Source organism: Homo sapiens, chromosome 1, assembly GCF_000001405.40.
Source record: "Homo sapiens chromosome 1, GRCh38.p14 Primary Assembly".
Lineage (NCBI taxonomy): Eukaryota > Metazoa > Chordata > Mammalia > Primates > Hominidae > Homo > Homo sapiens.
This window is the reverse complement of record NC_000001.11, coordinates 248,231,169-248,254,613: the sequence shown is the minus strand read 5'-3', so window position 1 is coordinate 248,254,613 and position 23,445 is coordinate 248,231,169. Positions and strand designations below refer to the sequence as shown.

The following is a 23,445-nucleotide window of genomic DNA, read 5'->3' as shown; positions in this document are numbered from 1 at the left end:
TTTGGCTGGATATGAAATTCTGGGTTGAAAATTCTTTTCTTTAAGAATGTTGAATATTGACCCCCACTCTCTTCTGGCTTGTACGGTTTCTGCCGAGAGATCTGCTGTTAGTCTGATGGGCTTCCCTTTGAGGGTAACCCAACCTTTCTCTCTGGCTGCCCGTAACATTTTTTCCTTCATTTCAACTTTGGTGAATCTGACAATTATGTGTCTTGGAGCTGCTCTTCTCGAGGAGTATCTTTGTGGCGTTCTGTGTATTTCCTGAATCTGAATGTTGGCCTGCCTTGCTAGATTGGGAAAGTTCTCCTGGATAATATCCTGAAGAGTGTTTTCTAACTTGGTTCCATTCCTCCCATCACTTTCAGGTACACCAAACAGACATAGATTTGGTCTTTTCACATAGTCCCATATTTCTTGGAGGCTTTGCTCGTTTCTTTTTATTCTTTGTTCTCTAAACTTCCCTTCTCGCTTCATTTCATTCATTTCATCTTCCATCGCTGATACCCTTTCTTCCAGTTGATCGCATCGGCTCCTGAGGCTTCTGCATTCTTCACGTAGTTCTCGAGCCTTGGCTTTCAGCTCCATCAGCTCCTTTAAGCACTTCTCTGTATTGGTTATTCTAGTTATACATTCTTCTAAATTTTTTTCAAAGTTTTCAACTTCTTTGCCTTTGGTTTGAATGTCCTCCCGTAGCTCGGAGTAATTTCATCGTCTGAAGCCTTCTTCTCTCAGCTCGTCAAAGTCATTCTCCGTCCAGCTTTGTTCCATTGCTGGTGAGGAACTGCGTTCCTTTGGAGGAGGAGAGGCACTCTGCTTTTTAGAGTTTCCAGTTTTTCTGCTCTGTTTTTTCCCCATCTTTGTGGTTTTATCTACTTTTGTTCTTTGATGATGGTGATGTACAGATGGGTTTTTGGTGTTGATGTCCTTTCTGTTGGTTAGTTTTCCTTCTAACAGACAGGACCCTCAGCTGCAGGTCTGTTGGAGTACCCGGCTGTGTGAGGTGTCAGTCTGCCCCTGCTGGGGGGTGCCTCCCAGTTAGGCTGCTCGGGGGTCAGGGGTCAGGGACCCACTTGAGGAGGCAGTCTGCCCATTCTCAGATCTCCAGCTGCGTGCTGGGAGAACCACTGCTGTCTTCAAAGCTGTGAGACAGGGACATTTAAGTCTTCCGAGGTTACTGCTGTCTTTTTGTTTGTCTGTGCCCTGCCCGCAGAGGTGGAGCCTACAGAGGCAGGCAGGCCTCCTTGAGCTGTGGTGGGCTCCACCCAGTTCGAGCTTCCTGGCTGCTTTGTTTACCTAAGCAAGCCTGGGCAATGGTGGGTGCCCCTCCCCCAGCCTCGCTGCCACCTTGCAGTTTGATTTCAGACTGCTGTGCTAGCAATCAGCGAGATTCCGTGGGCGTAGGACCCTCCGAGCCAGGTGTGGGATATAATCTCCTGGTGCGCCGTATTTTAAGCCCTTCGGAAAAGCGCAGTGGGAGTGACCCGATTTTCCAGGTGCCATCTGTCACCACTTTCTTTGACTAGGAAAGGGAGCTCCCTGACCCCTTGCGCTTCCCGACTGAGGCAATGTCTCATCCTGCTTTGGCTCGCGCATGGTGCATGCACCCACTGACCTGCGCCCGCTGTCTGGCCCTCCCTAGTAAGATGAACCCGGTACCTCAGATGGAAATGCAGAAATCACCCATCTTCTGCATCGCTCACACTTGGAGCCATAGACCGGAGCTCTTCCTATTTGGCCATCTTGGCTCCTCCCTAGTTGTGTTTTTATATGCTGAAAACAAGCAATCTATTCAACTAGTGGTGATGAGAAACAGTATATCCATATGCAAAACAGTGAAGTCAGGCTTTTATCTTACACCATGTAAAGATTAATTCAAGTAGATAAAAAACTTTAATATAAGAACCAAAATGACGAAACTCTTAGAAGAAAACAAAGGGAAAAATCATGACATTGTATTTGGCAATAATTTTTTGTATGTAAAAACCAGAAGTATAGGCATTAAAAGAGGAAAACAAATAAAATTTATTTCATCAAAATTAACATTTTGCACATCAAAGGACACTTTCAGAAAAGTAAAAAGGCAGCTCTCTCATGATGGGAAAAATAGTTGCAAAGTACATAGCTGATAAGAAATTAAATCTACAATATATTTTTAAAACTTACAATGAAATAACAACAAAATAGACAACCCAACTGAAAAATAGGCAAAGAGCTTGAATAGGCATTTCTTAAAAAAGATAAGCATGTGACCAATAAGGATGTGAAAAAAAGTTGTGCATCACTAATCATTAGGTAAATGCAAATCAAAACCTCAGTGAGATACCACTTTATACCTATTAAAATGGTTATTATTAAAATAAACAAAGAAAATCAGAAACAGAAAGTGTTGGGGAAGATGTGCAGAAATTGGAACTTCTGTGCATTGCTCCTGCAGCCACTGTGGAAACCAAATGATACATCCTTTAAAAAGTGAAAGAATTATCATGTTATCCAGCAATTCCACTTCTTGGCTTATGCACAAAAGAATTGAAAGCTTGAATTTGAACAGATATTTGCATACCTATGTTTATAGCATCATTATTCACAATAGTCAAAAGATAAAAAATGACCTAAATATTCCTTAATGGATGAAGGGAGAAACAAAATGTATATACATGCAATGGAACATTATATAACCTTAAAAAAGAATAAAATTCTGGTTCATGCTACAACATAGATAAAACTTAGATGAAGTGAAGCTATGCATAAAAGGAAACATATGACATACTAGAATATTCAAATTCATAGAGATAGAAAGATAACTTGACTGGTATGAGACTCATTTCTCTGCCAAGCATCACCATGGCAACCACACAAGTTTGTCTCCTTTGGGTTTTCTAATAAAGGGTTCTTATTAGTCTCTGAGAATTTCCCCGAATTTATCTAATAGAATAAGGCTCCAATTAGCTACAACTTTGGAGTGAATAAAATAAAGTTTTAACTCTTGCTAATGAGAGGCTATTTAATAAGACTCTGTGGGTGTTCAGCTTTGACAAACTCATTAAAAGTTTTCATATCACAATCCCAGAAGCCTGATTTAACAAGCCTCGGAACAGCATTCTTCCAATTAACTCCCTTCTTCCCCGTGCTTGGAGCAGAGAAACAGTTGCCTGTGATTAGTGATTTGCTGTCTTTGTTAATGATCAACCCCATCTCCATTATTATAAGGGAAAACAAAATAATTAAAGTTTTGTAGAGTTTATCAATGCTTTCAGGGCAGTGGAAGTGCCCTTCGACTTCTGTGTACTAACTTTGTTAATGATCTGTTGAGTAATAGAAGACCTCAGAATCTTTCTTAAACATTTTTAGAATAAATATAAATTAAAATATATGTATATATATAAAGGATATTATAATAAGTCCAACAAACCTAATAGTGGTTGAGAGAGATTGTGTGGCAAACTCTGAAAGCTAAAAAGTTGTTGAGATGATATTAATTCTAGTCTCTCTTTGCTTCTTAATATTTTAATGTACAGGCATTTAAGAATATTATAAATAATAACCCACTAGATAATCTTTCAGGCAATAATTTTATTTATATCTATATTTGTACAAAAAGGGGTGAGAGGTATTAAACCATTTTTTTCTGAGATCCTTTTCATCCCTAATTACTGCTGTAGTATATTACTGATAATATTTTACTTTCAATGATAGGTAGGCATGAGAGTGCTAAGGCATTGTAGATTAGTATAAATCATGAGCATACTGATGCAAAGACTCAGAAGCTCATCTTCACACATTGATTCTCATAGCCACTCACTTAGATGCCTCCCTGAAGGAAATACATACGGTGATCAATGCCAGGAAAAAAGGCCCTTTATTTTTATTTTGTGTTATTTTTTATTGATGCAAATATTTGTATACTTATGGGATACATGTGACATTCTGTTACATGCATAGAATGTATAATGATAATGTCAGGGGATTTGGGATGTCTGTCACCTCGAGTATTTATCATTTCTAGGGTTTGGGAATATTTCAAGTTCTCTCTTCTAGCTATTTTGAAATGTATAATGCATTGTTTTTAAGTATAGTCACTGTACTCTGTTACCGGGCATTAGAACATATTCCTTCTATTTAACTGTATGCTTGTATCCACTAATCAACTTCTCTTCATCTCCTTCTACACACACTCTTCCCAGTCTCTGGTATCTATCATTTTATCTTCTAACTCCATGAGATCATCTTTTTTAGTTCCCATATATGAGTGGGAATATGTGAGATTTGCAAAAGACCCTTTTAAAATCTCATTATTTTTGTCCGTTTTTCTTCACTCCTCAATTTAGTTGCTTATGGAGCTTTTTGAAATACCCTGTGTTCCCTCTATGTACTTTCTGCCTAAATTCACAGGCAAGCTCATGTCTTTATAGATGTGGCCACAGGAAGGCTCACACACTAAGAGGAAGGTAAAGGAAGGCCTCTCCATAAAAAAAAAATAAAATAAAACAAAACAAAGCAAAATTGTTTTGTTTGTTTTGAAACTTGTGTTTCAAAGACTAGTTGGATCACTCAGTTTACCATGTCACAATTCTATTTGTATTCATACTGAAATAGGCATCTAAGTGTTACAATTGCCTGTCATTATGGAAGCAAAGACTCTTTAAATATCCTTTAAGTAGTAGTTAAATTTTGGTTATCTAAAAAGTACATTTGAACCTTTCACCCAACATAAAATCTAAGAACTCAATAGCAATTTACATATAACATGTGGCCTCACCTTACTCCATTTCACTACTTCTACTGCCAAAATTTTGAGCATCCTAAACCCAATGTTCCACATCCTCTCATTCTCATGTTCATTTAGCTTTATGTAGATGTTAAACATCTTTTGTTTTGATTCTTTAATGATTCATAAAATTTTAGAAAAGCTATTGTGCAGCAAGTAATCTTCCTGAGCTTGCTTTATGGTATTATTAAGATTCATTCTATTTTTTTATTGCTCAAATATATTGCTTTCAGCTATTGTAAAATATTCCAATTTGTGAATACAAGAAAAATTATTTATCATATTATTTAGACACAGAAATTTTATATATCTACCATAGAAACAAACCTTTTGAACATGCCTTTGTGTGACTCCTAGTATACTGGAAGAAGTTTCTTGGGTTCTATGGAGAGAAATAGAATGGTTGGACTGTTTGGAATGTAAAAGTCCAATATAAAACATGGTGTTGATTTCTTTTCCAAAGTGCCAATATCGGTTTTCATTCTAGTCGGCAATGCTAAATTGTTTTGCTAATAAACATACTCAACAACATTCAGTATTGTTTGAGTTTTCTATTTTTTCTGCTGGAATGGGGATAAAATACCACTCTTGACAATTATGTCAGAAGTTTACTGGCCACGTGTGTCTGTTTTTCTGTGAAATAACTGCTCATATATTTTTCTTATTTTTCAGTATATATATATATATATATATATATATGAAGTTGAATCAAATAATATTATTAAATATAGGTGTATATTTATTTAGTATACTGTTTCATCTTAGTGCATAACTAGAATTTCCACCTATTTGAGGTATCTATCAATGGACAAAGTTTAAAATTTTTAACTTGGTCAAATTTGTCAATGATTGTATTTATAGTTATTACTTTATATGACTTGCTTAAGAAATTGATGTCTGCTCGGGAACATTTGCCTATAATTTAAAACAAATATTTGTTGTGTTTTCAATATGTGTTTTTAATACAGTTGAGGTTGATTTTTGTACATTGTTCAGTAGGAACTAAATTTAATATATCTCCCTATAAGTAATATTTTCTCAATAATTTTATTAAAATTAAGTAGATTTACATTTGTTCAAAAAGTGGTATTATTTGAGGCCGATTAATTGTAATAAAAATTAGTCACAATAATGTATAATGTCTTACATCCAAATGAAGCTTACTTCTTGTTTTTGTAGCAGTGTTGGAAGTGTGGACATGTACTGCTTGTTGGTGCAGCTTCAGGGACCTAGGAAGACAGAGTCCCTGCCTGGGTTTCCTCGGGACATCTCCATTGAACAGCCACAGTGAAAAATATAATGTGCAAGAAAGCATCTCGGGGAGTGTTTCTCTTTTTCCTCCGTTTCTTCCTCCCTTCCTCCCTCTGTCACTCCCTTTTTTTCTTTTGCTGAAATACCCATATTTCTTTTAAAAATTTTTAATTTTTGAAAAATAGAGCACCACATCAAAGAAAAAAAAATTAAGGAACTACCAAGGATCAAAAAAATCTTGTTTCATATTTATCCACCCAACAAATCTAAATGCATTTAATGTTTGTGGAGTTTTGTTTTGTTTTGAGATGGAGTCCTGCTCTGTTTCCCAGTGCAGTGGTACGATCTCAGCTCACTGCAACCTCTGCCTCCCGGGTTCAAGCGATTCTCCTGCCTCAGCGTCCTGAGTAGCTGATTATAGGTGTGTGCCACCATGTCTGGCTAATTTTTGTATTTTTAGTAGAGATGGGTTTCACCTTGTTGGTCCGGCTGGTCTTGAACTCCTGACATTGTGATCTGCCTGCCTTGGCCTCCCAAAGTGTTGGGATTACAGGCGTGAATCACCGTGCCTGGCCATTTGTTTAGACATCTTATCACTTCTTCATTATACCTAATCTTGAATTCATAGTTTCTTCCTTTGTACTTAACCACAATACCTTATCACACAAATACAATTAACAGTATTTCCACAATGTCATCTAATAGGACATCTGTAAGCACATTTCTTAATAATCTCAATAATCTCATGTCTTACAATTGACTTATTTGGATGAAGACACCCACACACAAAAAAAACGCCGCATGTTGCCAGTTGAGGTTTCTAATTACACATGAATTTCCAGCCGGCACTCTGAGCAGCAACCACATTCCTTCAATCTCCATAGAAGGTCACTCTGTCTATGTGTACACAGACTAGAAGTGCCAGAGAATAAAAATCGCCAGCAGAGAAGCCCCCGAACAACCCTGGTGAAAATCAAGTTCTGTCTCCTCTCTCACAGGCAAGAATGATTCTCAAGGGTGTGCATTTTATATACTTTCTCAGAAGTGAGCCACAGGATTAGGTTGGATTTGCCCTCTGTAGTAGCTTACTCAATAAAACACGCTTTATTAACTTCCTTTCCTTCTCTGTATTAATTCTTTATAAATATAGACTTTTCCAGATAAAGAAAAGCTGAGGGATTTCATCAACACCAGACCTGTCTTACAAGAAATGCTAGAGAGAGTTCTTCAACATGAGAGAAAAAAAGTATTAATGAGCATCTGAAGGTACAAATCTCTCTGGTAATGGTAAGTACACAGGAAAAGACAGACTATTACAATACTGTAATTGTGGTGTGTAAACTACTCATATCTTAAGTAGAAAGATGAAAAGATGAACCAATCAAAAATGATATCTACAACAACTTTGTAAGACATAGACAGTACAATAAGATATAAACTGAAACAACAAAAAGTTACAAAGTGAAGGTATGAAGTTAAAGTGTAGAGGGTTTTTTTTTAAGTTCCTTTTTGCTTGCTTCTTGTTTGATTGTGAAATCAGGGTTACGTTGGTCATGAATTTTAAATAATGGGAGATAAGATATTACTCCCAAGGCTCACAATAATTTGAAATGTAAAAATACACAACAAGCACAGGCAACTGAAGCAAAAATGGACAAATAAGATCACATCAATTTAAAAAGCTTCTGCATAGCATAGGAAACAATAAAGTGAAGAGAAAACCCACAGAATGAAAGAAAAAATTTTCAAACTACTCATCTGACAAGGGATTAATAACCAGAATATATAAGGAGCTCAAACAACTCTATAGGAAAAAATGTATTAATCCAATTTAAAAATGGGTGAGAGTTGAATAGACATTTCTCAAAAGAAGACATACAAATGGCAAACAGGTATATGAAAAGGTGCTCAACATGTTGATCATAAGAAATGTGTAAATTAAAACTACAGTGAGATATCATCTCACCCCAGGCAAAATGACTTTCATATAAAAGAAAGGCAATACCAAATTATGCCAGAATGTGGAGAAAAGGGAGCCCTCCTACACTGCTAGTGGGAATGTGAATTAGTACAACCACCATAAAGGACAGTTTGGAGGTTCCTCAAAAAACTAAAAACAGAGTTACCACATGATTCAGCAATTCTACTGCTAGGCATACATCCAAAAGAAAGGTAATCAGTATATTGAAGAGATATCTGCACTCCATGTTTATTGGAGCAGTATTCGCAATAACTAAGATTTGCAAGCAAACTGTGTCTATCAACAGATGAATGGATAAAGAAAATGTGGTACATATACACAATGAAGTACTATTCAGCCGTAAAAAATAATGAGATCCTGTCATTTGCAACAACATGGATGGAACTGGAGGTTATTATATTAAATGAAATAAGCCAGACACAGAGAGATAGACTTCAAATGTTCTCCCTTATTGGTGGGAGTTAAAAATTAAAACAACTGGGCTCATGGAGATAGAGAGTAGAAGGATGGTTATCACAGGCTGAGAAGGGTAGTGGGGGTGGGGATTAGGAAGAATAAGTGGGGATGTTTAATGGGTACAAAATATAATTAGAAAGCATGAATGCCTTAGTGTTTGATAGCACAACGGAGTGACTATAGCCAATGATAATTGTGCATTTAAAAATAACTAAAAGTATAACTGGATATTTTGTAACATAAAGGACAAATGCCTGGGATGATGGATACCTCAATTATCTGATATGATTATTATGCATTGCATGCATGTATCAAAATATCTCATGTACCCCATAAATATATACACCTACTATGTACTCACAGAAAGTAAAAATTAAAAATAAAAAGGTCTAAAATATTTAATGTGGATAGCATGACTTTACTCCAGAATTTTACTGATTTCATTTGAATTATCCCATGGAAACATACAATAAATGCCACACAATGTAATTTCCCAATAATAATAGCTCTAATACTATAGATTCTAACACTTGCATGGTCCAAGTTTCAGAGTTGCTTGCACTGCATCCTGGATTGCAGTGAATCCTCTTTCTGTTATTGGAGTTACTCAAAGTCAGTATCTTTTTGCGTAACCCACTATATAGATCTAAATAATAATCCAGGTGTGGTATATGCTGCCGTCAAAACCCAAAAAGGTATACCAAGTATTGTCTATCTGTTATCTATCTATCTATCCATCTATCTATCTATTTATCTATCTATCTATCTATCATGTATCTATCTTTTGGTGAGAGGGCAAGATGCAGTAATCTTTCCTTTGCTTTGGATATCCCATGAGACTTTAAGTGGCATGTAACTTCCTACAACCTTTATTTTTGTGGAAGACCGCTGATATTGGTAAGGTATATCTTGCACCTTTGGATAACAAATGTATTACAATGTCTCCAGTGTGCTAGCTATTTCTTACAGCTCAGTCCAATTAGCATATTGTCCTCTAAATGTAGTACATTTTTTTTTATGCAGCATGTCCAGGTAGCTTGTATTTCTTTCACTTACATCATGACAGAGGACAGGAGGATAGGCATAGACCGAGGTATTATAAATAGAAGATGTCTGATCCTTATGAATGTGAGTTGTTCTTGATATTCTTTCCTCAGAGTGATAGAAAAGAGCTCATTTACCAAATCAATAGTAGGTGCATAAGACCATCTTAATTTGCTCTAGAAAAGATACTGAGTCTAACATAGGAACTTCTACTTACTGGAGTTTCAGGAATTGTGTGGGTTTTGAAGAGGTTAAAGTAGTAAATTAACAGAAATACAATGGAAATCACCATATCTTAGTCATCTAGATAAACATACTTCAAAAGAAATATAATATGCCACCTAGGTAATTTAAAAATATACTAGTGACCACAGTTTTAAAAGTTAAGATGAAATGTTAAATTATTTTTTAAATGATTTCATCTTTTATTTTAGACACAGTGGGTACATGTGCGTGTTTGTTACATGTGTATATTTCATCACGCTGAGGTTTAGGGTATAGATCCCATCACCCAGGTTGTGAGCATAGTATCCCATAGGTAGTTTTGCAACCCACACTCCCCTCCCTTCCTTCCCCATTTGGTAGTCCACAGTGTCTATTGTTTCCATCTTTACATCCTTGAGTACCCAAAGTTTAGCTCCTATGTATAAGTGAGAACATGCAGTATTTGGTTTTTTGTTACTGCATTAATTCACTTAGGATAATGGCCTCCAGTTGCATCCATGTTGCTACAAAGGACATGATTTTGTTCTTTTTTATGGCTATGTAGCACTCTGTGGTGTTTATGTGCTACATTTTCTTTATCCAATCCACCATTGATGGGCATGTAGGTTGATTCCTTGCTATTGGGAATAACACTGCAATGAATGAATAATTTGTCTTTGGGGTAGAACAATTTATTTTCTTTTGGATGTATCCCCAGTAATAGCATTCCTGGGTCAAGTAGCAGCCCTGTTTTAAGTTCTTCGAGAAATCTCCAAACTGCTTTCCACAGTGGCTCAACTATAATTTACATTCCCACCAACAGTGTATATGTGTTCCTTTTCTCCACAGCTTCACTAGTATTTGTTATTATTTGACTTTATTAATGGTCATTTTGACGGGACTGGTGTGAGATGGTCTCTCATTTAGGTTTTGATTTGCATTTCTCTCATAACTAACTATGATGACCATTTTTTCATGTTTGTTGGCTGCTCATATGCCTTCTTTTGAGAAATGCATGGTCATGTGCTTTGCCCACTTTTTAATGGGATTATTTAATGGGGTTTTGCTTGTTGACTTAAGTTCCGTATAGAATCTGGATGTTAGACCTTTGTTGGATGCACATTTTGCTAATATCTTCTCCCATTCTGTAGATTGTCTGTTTACTCTGCTGATAATTTCTGTTGCTGTGAAGAAGCTCTTTAATTAGGTCTAGCTTGTCAATTTTTGTTGCAAATGTTTTTGGGAAATTAGCCAAAAATTATTTGCCAAGCCTGGTATCAAGAACGGCATTTCCTAAGTTTTCTTCTAGGATTTTCTTACGTTTAAGTCTTTAATCCATCTCGAGTTAATTTCTGTACATGCTGAAAGGTAGCTCTCTCTGCTGTGGCCTCTGCCTGAGGGAGGGCTGTAGCCCGAAACATCTAATAAAAGAAATGCAGGCGAAGTGCTAGTAATTGGAGGGGCCTCCTCCAAGGCTCAGGAGTCGTCCTGGTAAGGAGGCATCTCTCTCAACCCCCACCGGACAGCGTGCCTGCGAATGCCAGGAAACACGAAAGAGCCAAGTGGCCGATCAAGAGCCTCTCTACGGGCATTACTCTTAGGCGCCATCTACTGGATTACAGCCCAAACTTCAACACCAAAAATTAAGTTAAAACTAATACGTCCAAAATATTGTTTCAACAGGCAAGCAACCTTAAAAATTAATAACGATATATTTTACATTTTATGTATAAACTTTTTAAAATCAAGCGTTTATTTTACATTTTCAGCTCATAATTCAGACACTAATTTTTTTTCAAAAATACTTGGTCTGCATTTAAATTTAATAAAATTTACAGTTGAAAAATTAGATTCACATATACGCAATGTCCCAAACATACTCAAAACATTTTTCATCACTAAATTGAGTAAGCAATATAACTTCTTTCAAGTCGGTATTATTAACATCAAATTCAAAAATTTAACATATAAATTAAAAAGTAACTTTAAATTCATCAATATCAAAATTGTTTTCAAATGTTTCTTGTAGATTTTGCAGTTTACATAATTGCATATTAAAATTACTTTTTTCTGCATATTATGTGTAAAATCAAATGTACAAAATCATTATCGATTCATATCATAAAATGTTTCCATTTCAAGCTCAATTTTCATACTTCTCTTAGTAGATCACAGATAAGTCTTTCTTTTCTGGTTGTTCTAAATTTACCTGTTTCACATAAGGTGTGATGTTGCTGACAAAATGTAAATCACACTTCTATTTGTTATCATGACTATTGAAATGCTTGCTATATATTTTGATTAAAGAAGATCCGGAGTGGGAGTGAAAGTACAGTAAATCTTTGTAAAACTCGGGGCTGGGTGCTGTGGCTGACGCATGTAATCCAGGCACTTTGGGAGGCCAAGGCGGGCGGATCACGAGGTCAAGAGATTGAGACCATCCTGGCCAACATGGTGAAATCCCGTCTCTACTAAAAATACAAAAATTAGCCAGTTGTGGTAGCATGCGCCTGTAGTCCTGGCTACTCGGGAGGCTGAGGCAGGAGAATCACTTGGACCCAGGAGGTGGAGGCTGCAGTGAGCCAAGATCCCACCATTGCACTCCAGCCTGGTGACAGAGCAAGACTCCGTCTCAAAAAAAAACTTTGTAAAACTCTTTCTGGCTCAACCAGTGAACACTGACTGGCAAAGATATGTCATTAAATTCACTGTTTTGTATTATAAAATTTAATTAATTGAATTAATAAAATTGAATTCATTGGTGAAGAATCAGCATATACAAGTATAAATTGAATAAATTGAGCAACTGTACCCACGACACATATATTCTGCTTCCAAAAACTGAGCATAAACATTTCCAGTGTGTATCATAAAGTGGAATGAAACACATAGGGACATAGTATTATCTTCTTTTAAAATCCCAATAAATCTAAATTTTTGACTTGACATAGCTAGGGCGACATTTGCTATGATAAAAACTACTTTTTATATTTAACAGAAATTATTTATTTATTTATTTACTGAGATGGAGTTTTGCTTTTGTTGCCCAGGCTGGAGTGCAATGGCATGATCTCGGCTCACAGCAACCTCCACTTCCCAAGTTCAAGCGATTCTCCTGCCTCAGCCCCACGAGTAGCTGGGATTACAGGCATGGGCCACCACGCCCGGCTGATTTTGTATTTTTTTAGTCGAGATGAAATTTCTCCATGTTGGTCAGGCTGGCCTTGAACTCCCAACCTCAGATAATCTGCCCGCCTCGGCCTCCCAAAGTGCTGGGATTACAGGCATGAGCGAGCCACTGCATCCGGCCCAGAAATTATTTTTTTTAAGGATAAAATTAGCCTTTGTTTTAATTTTTAAAATTTGCTAGCACATTTTTAAATTAGAAAACATTTGATTATACTATACTTAAAAATAAGCATGTCAATCTAAATAATAATTATGAATATTACTGTGGTGAGTACAAAAATTTCAGTTGAATCAATCCATTGGTGCTTACGAAGCAAAATATTAAGCAACAGTGTTAGTCCCTTCTTGCCCAGGGTGTATATAGAAATGTCATCTGGGATGGAGGTCCTGGAATAAGGGCCTCACAGCTTTGACGAGTGCATTTTCTTGCTGTGGCTAAACTGGTATCCAAGATGTGAGACAAAGTCCTCTCCACTCTTTCTTCTCCTCAAGTGGAAGAACTCTTTTGGAGCCATGAGCTGTGCAGCCTGAGGTTAGGCAAGGGTGATGCCAGCACAACCTCAGTTGCCCCAGCTGCTGTCTCTGTAGTTCACGTGCCCGCCGCACAGTCCACTATCTCGGGGCCCAATTCAGCACTAGGACTCACCTAAGAGTTGCAGTACTTATGGCATAGACCGCCTTTTAAGTTTACTTAGAGCCTCAGCGCATTTTAGCCCTCAGTGTCAAGGTTTGTGGGAACACAAGTTTTGACCACTGGGATCAGTAATTCCCCTCTGACAAGGGCTGGTTTAAATGCTCTGTCTGTGGCCAGGCATCAGCTGAATTTTATCTGGTTTTCCTTTCTGCTCTTACAGGACAGCACTGAGCTCAAAGCCTCACAATTGCTGTGTTCTTTCTCACCAGAGCCCAGAGACACTCTTAGCACACTGTTCCTTCTGTCAGTGGTGAGAGAGGGGTGGCATTGTCTGTTCAAGTTGTTTTTTCTACCTCTTCACTGCCTCTTCAGTGATATAAAGTTAAAACCAGGTACTACGAAGGCTCACCTGATTTTTGGCTCTCATGAATGTGTTGTTCGTGTATGGATTATTGTTAAATTGCTGTCCTTGCATGTGAACGATCAGTGGAGCCTTCTATTCCATCATCTTGCTCTGCCTTCAGATTCTGATGGTTAATATAAGGATTATAAGGAATAAAAGCAGACATGATACAGATGTTGACTGTGCAGCCCAAATAGATATTTTATGTGGACTCCTTAAAATATTTAATTTTATTAGCATAAAGATCACACACATATATACTTAAGTGTGTGTATGTTTATACGAGTTTCTAGGAAATATTTTATGCAGACATAAAACTTGATTGAAGAAAGTGTTGATACTAACTCCGCACTTTTAAATACTTGGGAGTCAAGTAAAGAAGAATCAGTATTAAAATAGTCATTCTTGGGTTTGAGGATGGGCAAATTAAAAACAAGTACTAATAGGTAAGTAATTTGTGAACAAAGAAGCATCTCTCCAAAAACAGAGGATCAACTCCAACCTTTGCTTTTTGATACAGCTAAGACCCTTCGGACTTATACCTGGCTTCAAAAGTAAGCATCCTAAAATCAAGTACCACCCATGTGTGACACCTAATAATATAATTGTCATTCACAGGGATTAAACCACTTATACTAACATCCAAATCTAGCTTAGTATACAAACGATGTATATGTAATAATATACTGAATAGATAATTTTGAAAAGAAGTGGAAAATATTAATACAAATTACCAGAAATAGAAATAGAATAATTTAAGAGATTCCAGTTTTTTTGAATGAGTGTTGACCACAGTAGGCACTCAAAAAGATTTTGATAAGGTCATATTAACTTTCTTTTCTTCAGTACCTTCTGTAGTGCCCTGAACACTTCTTTGTTGCGGAGGCTATAAATGAGAGGGTTCAGCATAGGGGTGAGAATAGTGTAGAAGGCCGACACCATCTTGTCCTGGTCTGGCGTATGTTTAGAAGCTGGTCTCATGTACATGAACATAGCAGCACCGTAGTAGAGTCCGACCACAGACAGGTGGGAGGAGCAGGTAGTGAAGGCCTTGCGACGACTTTCCCCAGAGCCCATGTGGATGACGGCTCGAAGGACATGGGAATAGGAAAGTATGATAACTGAAACTGGAAAGATTAGCATTACCACACAACAAATGACAAGTAGTCTTTCAAATGCAGATGTTTCTGTGCAGGATAGAGGTAAAAGGGCAGCAACATCACAGAAAAAGTGATGAATTTCCAGAGAGCTGCAGTAAGAAAATGACAGGACAGCTGCAAGCACTATGATCCCATCAAGAGACCCCAAGGTCCAGGAAGCAACAGTCATGAAGACACAGAGTTTCGGATTCATGAGGATGGTGTACTGAAGAGGGTGACATATAGCCACATAGCGGTCATAAGCCATGACAGCCAACAAGAAACATTCAGCTCCAAGCAGGGACACATAGAAGAATATCTGAGTTCCACAACCTGCCAGAGAGATAGATTTCTTCCCAGACAAGTAGCTGAAGATCATCTTGGGTAGAGTGGTGCAGATGAGCATGAGGTCCATAAGGGACAGTTGACTGAGGAGGAAGTACATGGGGGTGTGGAGCTGTTTCTCTATGTAGATGAGGAGAACCATGGAAATATTTTCCATCAATGCCAGTGAGAAGATGCCCAGGACCAGAGAAAAAAGGAAGGTGTGGGTGGGACTGTGATTGAAGATTCCCAGCAGGATGAAGATGGAGTTGAAGGTCTGGTTTTCCCACACCATCCTGGATAATTTGCCTTATCTGAGAATTCCAAAGAAGGTACAAGCTTATTTATCAATTCAGTTTTCAAACACATACTGTGACATACTCTACTGGGCAGTTTATATGCATGCATAAGGCCTTCTCACCAACCTTCAGTTACCTTCCTTTAGTCATGGTAAATTGTGTGGATTAGTCCATTGCTTTTACAATTATTTCCTCATCCAACTTTCACAGAGTATACATGGAGTACATTTGGACATTTACTTTACAGACAAGAATGCTGAAGTGTATAAGAGCTTCCCTACTTACCCACATGTACAGTCAATAGAAAACCTAGGAGAAAAATCACTGTATGCCTTTATTGCTAAATTTTAGGATCATACCTCATAAAAGAAAATTCCTTACAGAATTTTTTCTCCTTCTGTCCTAATATTTCTCCAGGTTAGTAGTCTCGTTGACAACAGAATTCCTGTTCGCATGTTTTTTTTTCCCTACCATCCTACCTGCAGCCCAGTGAAGGATTATATGAGATCAATGACATTACTCCTTGGGGACACCTGTACACTTCAGTTCAGAGAAGGGTATAGTACTCTATGTTTTAACTTTTCTATCTCAGACCAAGTCGTGAAGTCTTGTCTTATTTAATCAAAACCCCCATTAAAATATTTTTCTAAGGAAGACTAAATCGTTCACTTATCTTCTGAGGATAATTTTTTTCCTTCCAATTCTGTGTGGAAAAGAAGCTGCATTTTTTGTTTGTTTATTTGCTTGTTTTGTTTCTATTTTTAATTTTATTAAGTTGATACATTAAAGTTGTAAATATCTATGGGGGCACATTTTGACATTTCAAAACATATATTTTGCATAATGATCAAATCAGGGTATTTAGTGTGACCATCACCTCATGCATTTATCATTTTTTTGTAGTGAGGACATTCAAAAACCTTTGTATTTTTGAAAAAATTGATTTCTTCTTTTTACAATAAAGTGTTATAAATCAAATCGGATAAACATCTAGGGACAAAAGAAAACCCTTCTGTGGTCTTTAACAGCTTCTCTGCAATGTGCTACTTTGGAGACTTACGGGGCGTGTTCTACCACAGTGAGCAAAGGCTCAACTGTATGAAACGTGGCTCATCTCGTGCTGGTTTTCAGAGGGAATGCTTCCAGGTTTTGCTCATTCAGCGTGATATTGGCTATGAGTTTGTCATAAATAGCTCTTATTAATTTGATGTATGTTCCATCAATACCTAGTTTATTGAGAGTTTTTTTGTTTTGTTTTGTTTTGTTTTTGGGGGGGACAGAGTCTTGCTCTGTTGTCAGGCTGGAGTGCAATGGTGCAATCTTGGCTCAATGCAAACTCTGCCTCCTGGTTTCAAGCAATTTTCCCACCTCAGCCTCCCAAGTAGCTGAGATTACAGGCGCCCGCCACTACACCTGGCTAATTTTTGTATTTTAGTAGAGATAGGGTTACACCATGTTGGTCAGGCTCATCTCAAACTCCTGACCTCAGGTGATCCACCCACCTCAGCCTCCCAAAGTGCTGGGATTACACGCATGAGCCACCGTGCCTGGCTATTGAGAGTTTTTAACACGAAGCGATGTTGGATTTTATCTAAGGCCTTTTCTGTGTCTATTGAGATAATCATGTGGTTGTTGTCATTGGTTGTTTATGTGATGAATTATGTTTATTGTTTATTGTATGTTGAACCAGGGATGAAGCTGACTTGATCGTGGTAGATAATATTTTTGATGTGCTGCTAGATTTGGTTTGCTAGTATTTTACTGAGAATTTTTGCCTCGATATTTACCAGGGATATTGGCCTGAAGTGTTCCCTTTTTGTTGTGTCTCTGCCAGGTTTTGGTATCAGGATGATGCTGGCCTCATAAATGAGTTAGGAAGAAGTCCCCTTTTTTCAATTGTTTGGAATAGTTTCAGAAGAATGGTACCAGCTCCTCTTTGTACCTCTGATAGAATCAGGTTGTGAATCCATCTGGTCCTGGGCATTTTTTGGTTGGTAGGCCATTTAGTACTGCCTCAATTTCAGAACTTGTTACTGATCTATTCAAGGATTCGATTTCTTCCTGATTTAGTCTTAGGAGGGAGTATGTGTCCATGAATTTATCCATTTCTTCTAGATTTTCTAGTTTTTTGTGTAGAGGTGTTAATAGTATTCTCAGATGGTAGTTTGTATTTCTGTGGGGTCAGTGGTGATATCCCCTTTATCATTTTTTATTGGGTCTATCTGATTATTCTCTCTTTCTTCTTTATTAGCCTAGCCAGCAGTCTATTTTATTTTATTTTATTTTTCAAAAAATCAACTCTTGGATTCATTAATTTTTTTCAAGGCTTTTTTTTGTGTCTCTATCTCCTTCAGTGTCACTCTGATCTTAGTTATTTCTTGTCTTCTGCTAGCCTTTGGATTTGTTTGCTCATGCTTCCCTAGTTCTTTTAGTTGTGATGTTAGGGTGTCAATTTGAGATCTTTCTTACTTTCTGATGTGGGCATTTAGTGCTCTAAGTTTCCCTCTTAACACTGCTTTAGCTGCATCCCAGAGATTTTGATACATTGTCTCTTTGTTCTCATTGGTTTCAAAGAACTCCTTGATTTCTGTCTCAATTTAATTATTTATCCAGGAGTCATTTGGGAGCAGGTTGTTCAATTTCTACGTAGTTGTGTGGTTTTGAGTGAGTTTCTTGGTCTTGAGTTCTAATTTGATTATGCTTTGGTCTGAGAGACTGTTTGGTATGATTTCAGCTCTTTTGCATTTGTTGAGGAGTGCTTTATTACCAATTATGTAATCTATTTTAGAGTAAGTTCTATGTGGGTGCTATGTGGCACTGATAAAAATGTATATTATGTTACTTTGTACTAGAGAGTTCTGTAGATACCCTCTCTCACCACTCCTATTCAACATAGTATTGGAAGTTATGGTCGGGGCATTAAGGCAAGAGAGAAACAAAGGGTATTCAAATAGGAAGAGAGGAAGTCAAATTGTCTCTGTTTGCAGATGACAATCCTATGCCTAGAAAACCCCATTGTCTCAGCCCAAAAGTTCTTTAAGCTGACAAGCAACTTCAACAACGTCTCAGGATACAAAATCAACGTCCAAAAATTACAAGCATTCCTATGCACCAACAATAGACAAGCAGAGAGCCAACTCATGAATGAACTTCCATTTACAATTGCTACAAAGAGAATAAAACACCTAGGAATACAGCTAACAAGGGATGTGAAGGGCCCCTTCAAAGAGAACTGCAAACCACTGCTCAAGGAAATAAGAGAAGACACTAACAAATGGAAAAATATTCCATGCTAATGGATGGGAAGAATCAATATCATGAAAATGGCTATACTGCTCAATGTATGCCCTTTAATGCTATTCCCATCAAACTACCATGGACGTTTTTCACAGAATTAGATAAACTACTTTAAAAGTCCTATGGAACCAAAAAGAAGCCCATGTAGCCAAGTCAATCCTAAGCAAAAAGAACAAAGCTGGAGGCATCACACTACTCGACGTCAAACTTTACTACAAGGCTACAGCAATCAAAACAGCATGGTACTCGTACCAAAACAGACACATAGACCAACAGAACAGAATAGAGATCTCAGAAATAAGACCTGACATCTACAACCATCTGATCTTTGACAAACCTGACAAAAACAAGCAATGGGGAAAGGAGTCCCTATTTAGTAAATGGTGCTGGGAAAACTGGCTAGCCATATGCAGAAAACTGAAACTGGACCTTTATCTTACACCTTATACAAAAATAAGCTCAAGATGGATTAAAGACTTAAATGTAAAATTCCAAACCATAAAAACCCTAGAAGAAAATCTAGGCAATACGATTCAGGAAATAGGCATGGGCAAAGGTTTTATCATAAAATCACCTAAAGCAATTGCAATAAGAGCTAAAATTGAAAAATAGAGTCTAATTAAACTAAAGGGCTTCTGCACAGCAAAATAAACTATCATCAGAGCAAACAGGCAACCTATAGAATGGGAGAAAAATTTTGGAATCTACCCATATGATAAAGGTCTAATATCCAGGATTTACAAGGAACTTACATTTATAAGAAAAAACAACCCCATCGAAAAGTAGGCAAAGGACATGAACAGACACTTCTCAAAGAAGACATATATGTGCCCAACATACCTATTAAAAAAAAAAAGGCTCAACATCACTGATCATTAGAGAAATGCACATCAAAACCACAATGAGATACCATCTCATAAAGAAAATGTGGCACATATACAACATGGAAAACTATGCAGCCATAAAAAGGAAGGACATCATGTCCTTTGCAGGGACATGAATGAAGGTGTTTCAGTTTTCTAAGAATAATTCATCAGGGCAAACAGGCAACCTATAGAATGGGAACTGAAAACAAAACACCGCATGTTCTCACTCATAGGTGGGAACTGAACAGTTGAAACACATGGACACAGCGGTGGGGGAACAACACACCCTGGGGCCTGTTAAGGGGGTTGAGGGGACAGAAAGCATCAGGACTAATACTTAATGCATGTGAGGCTTAATACCTAGGTGACGGGTTGATAGGTGCAGCAAACCACCATGGCACACATTTACCTATGTAACAAACCCGCATGTTCTGCACATGTATCCTGGAACCTATAATAAAATACAAATTAAAAAAAAAAAATATTTGACTCAGCCCAGTTCAAGATGGGCAGAACTCAGGATGTAGTTGTGTGGAGCAGGGAGCACTACAAGAAATGCATCTGGAGAAATATAAAGAATCAGAGTATTTAAATACATTTCAATTTTGTTTCTAATTAAGCAAATATCAAAGAGGAAATTTATGTTGTGGACTAAAGATGTGAAGTGAAGTAAAATGATTTTGCATTGAGAAAATATCTTGGACATTGCACATTTGATGCTTTGAACAGGTTAGATCTGCGAGCCCGAAGATCATGGAGCAAACACCTTCTTTATCCAAGGGAGCCAGGGTAAAACCCCAGGCAATAACAGTGGAAGAAGAAGATGGTGGAAATAAAATCAACCATCAGGTCTTTGTAAAAAGCTCTCAATTATTATCTCTAGCCCCTCCCCCGCCTTTTTTTCAAACATGGCTCTAAAACATCATATTGTAAAACAGTACCCTGGAGTCCCAAATTAATTATATCCCAAATAAAACTCAATCCAAAGCTAGTCCTGCTGTTATTTCTGCCTGATATACATAACTGCCACCAAATTTTTTTTGAATTTCCAGATTTCAAAGCTTGAAATGATGAAATGTCTTTGTTGTTATTTCCTACTACTATTTTTCAAAATGTATTTAGCTGTATAGAAACATCAATATTTTTGCATACTCATATAATTTTTTTTGATACTGACTATTTTCTGAAGATTATTTACCATTGTGAGTGTTTATCCTTGGTGTTTATTTTTTATTCCACTAAGAAATACTAAGCAGGTAGTAGTTTTCAAATTTATTCTGTGGAATTCAATGAAATTATAAAGAAATCCAATTATCTCCTCTTTTTTCTTGGATGTATCCATGACTCATCCCATAAGTAGACATATAGCAAGCTTTCCTACTTCATATCAGCAAGCTATATATTCAAATTTGTACATCAAACCAAGTATTATACACCCTTAAGGCCAGAGCAGATTCTGTTACATCTTAATGGTATGTGGCATATGCCTATCACAACACTTTATTTATAAAGTGAAAACTAGTTTGAAATCCTTTTGCTGCTAACACCTTCCCCAGGAAATGTTCTGTTTATATCTTGGTACTCTAAATGAACTTCTGCTGATTATAATTAATGGTAAAATCCCTTTTAAAGCAGGAAAACTAAATAACAGAGACCCCTTTACTTATGTTCATGACACACAAAAAGTAACATGGCTTTATTTTATCTTAACTAAATTAAACTGTTATGTCAATATTCCAAAATAAAATTTACATTATCCATTTTAACGTTTAGAAATAGAAGAATGTGATAAATAACAAGATATAGCAAATGTTGAACTAGAGAATAACTCCTCAGCTGGTGACACATTCATTCATTTGTATGATTACTATGTTCTAGGTACTTCTTTTATTTTAATCCTGCAGAGATGTAGAGGGAATCCAAATTTCCTACAAGAATATATAAAAATATTGATGCCTCTCTAAATGAATACAAAATCTAGCCTCATTTTGAAGGTATCAACATAAAGAAGGAGCAGTACCTTTCTTTGCTCTTCCATTTTAAGAATAGAATTGCGTTACAATGTCACATGAAATTGTAAAATCCTCACATTGCTAGAACTATTTTGATTCTTCCATATGATTTTATGCCAATTATTAATGAAAAATGGAGAAGAATGAGGAAAATGATAGAAGGCACTTGACTAAGTGAGAGGAAGAATTAAGTGTCTGGAAGAGAGGTGAAGGCATATGAGGAAAATAAGTGCTAAAATTAGAGCTAAAATAGAAATAAAAAGAAAACAAAATAATATTAAGAGGGCCTGAAGTGATAAGAAATTTTGGAATATTAATGGCGATCAGAGAAGGAGAAACCACATAAACTATGAAGAGATCTAAGTGGGCACAAAGTCTTTGGAAAGAAGCTCAACCCCACTGAGTCCAGCTTTTCCCTAGACCTTGTGATTTTTACCAACCTGAAGATTTCCAACCACATATTGTAGCATATTCAATGTGTCCAGATTTCAAGAATGTCTCACACACTGTGGAATTTAACTAAATCAGATTTTATTAAATTTTTCTTTACTTCGTCTTTATAACATTGATTGTCAGAATTTTATGAATTAGTATATTTCATGAAAAATTAAGAACACAAATAAGAAAACTGGGTACTTTGTGGGAGTGAATCACTTCCCCAATAATTTCTAAACTAAAAATTTACACTGGGTGGTATGTAGAAAATTTTTAAGTCCAAATTTTCATGTATGTTTGAAGCAGTAGATAGACACCACTTGGTATATGATTGTTTTTGTAAATTCATGTTGAGGTGTAGATCCACCAGGTAGAAGATAGTTATGTTTCTCATAAAGCTTCAATAAATATTCAATAAATTAAAATAACCATTAAGAATACTATGTCTCTCTTTCTTCTTTTCCTTCATTTTTAGTATGAAACAGAAAGAGAGTCCAGGATTGCAGGAGAAATGAGGACATTTCCAGGATACTCCACAATTAGGTAGTTGTGAAGAACTACCTAATTGTAATAATCAGGTTGAGGAAGGCTTACACTTGTGTGATTCTGTATAGTGTTCCAAAAGCTTTTTAATGCACATGAACTCGTGATTTTCCTCAATAAAGTCATATAAGGTCAGCACAAGACATAACGGAATTTTTTTTCTTTTAAAGAGTGTTATATGTCTTACTCACAGGTGGTGATCAAGGGGAAAATTCGCCAAATCAGTTCTGGGTTCTTTATACTCTGGAATATAATAATCACTGCCTGAGCTGTATTACAACCTTTTCTTCTTTCTCTTCTAGAAAAGATTCAAAAGCAGCAACTCCAGTAGTCCAAATGACCCACTTGTCCGAAGGCCTATCCACCCTACAGCATCATGGACCTTAAATTCTATACCTCCACAAAATGTTAAATCCCCTGACATCAATTATAGATGGCATGCCTTCTTTCAGAATTTCTCCTAGGAAACAAAATCCATGTGGACCCCAAGGCTCTAGTTACTTTTTGCCAATACTGTCATTCTTTACTTGCTATAAAGTCATAAATGGCTGCCTACCTTTCTTTAGGAAGTAAATTGTGTTAATGAGAAACTTAAATCTTTAC

At 36.8% G+C, this 23,445-nt stretch overlaps 1 protein-coding gene across 1 annotated transcript; it reads right to left on the bottom strand.

Annotated features, from left to right (window-relative positions):
• Positions 1–9,934: 9,934 nt before the first annotated feature.
• OR2M4 (olfactory receptor family 2 subfamily M member 4) lies at positions 9,935–23,197 on the bottom strand. The gene is made up of 2 exons (NM_017504.2): positions 23,034–23,197; positions 9,935–15,704 (listed from the first exon to the last, which is right to left on the bottom strand). The coding sequence occupies exon 2, from the start codon at positions 15,683–15,685 to the stop codon at positions 14,750–14,752; it is 936 nt and encodes a 311-aa protein (NP_059974.1). The 5' UTR covers positions 15,686–15,704; positions 23,034–23,197; the 3' UTR covers positions 9,935–14,749.
• Between the last annotated feature and the right edge of the window lie 248 nt (positions 23,198–23,445).

What these genes read in the sequence shown, in the direction of transcription:
- OR2M4 (NM_017504.2), bottom strand. Translation starts at nt 15,685, where the DNA reads ATGGTGTGGGAAAACCAGACCTTCAACTCCATCTTCATCCTGCTGGGA.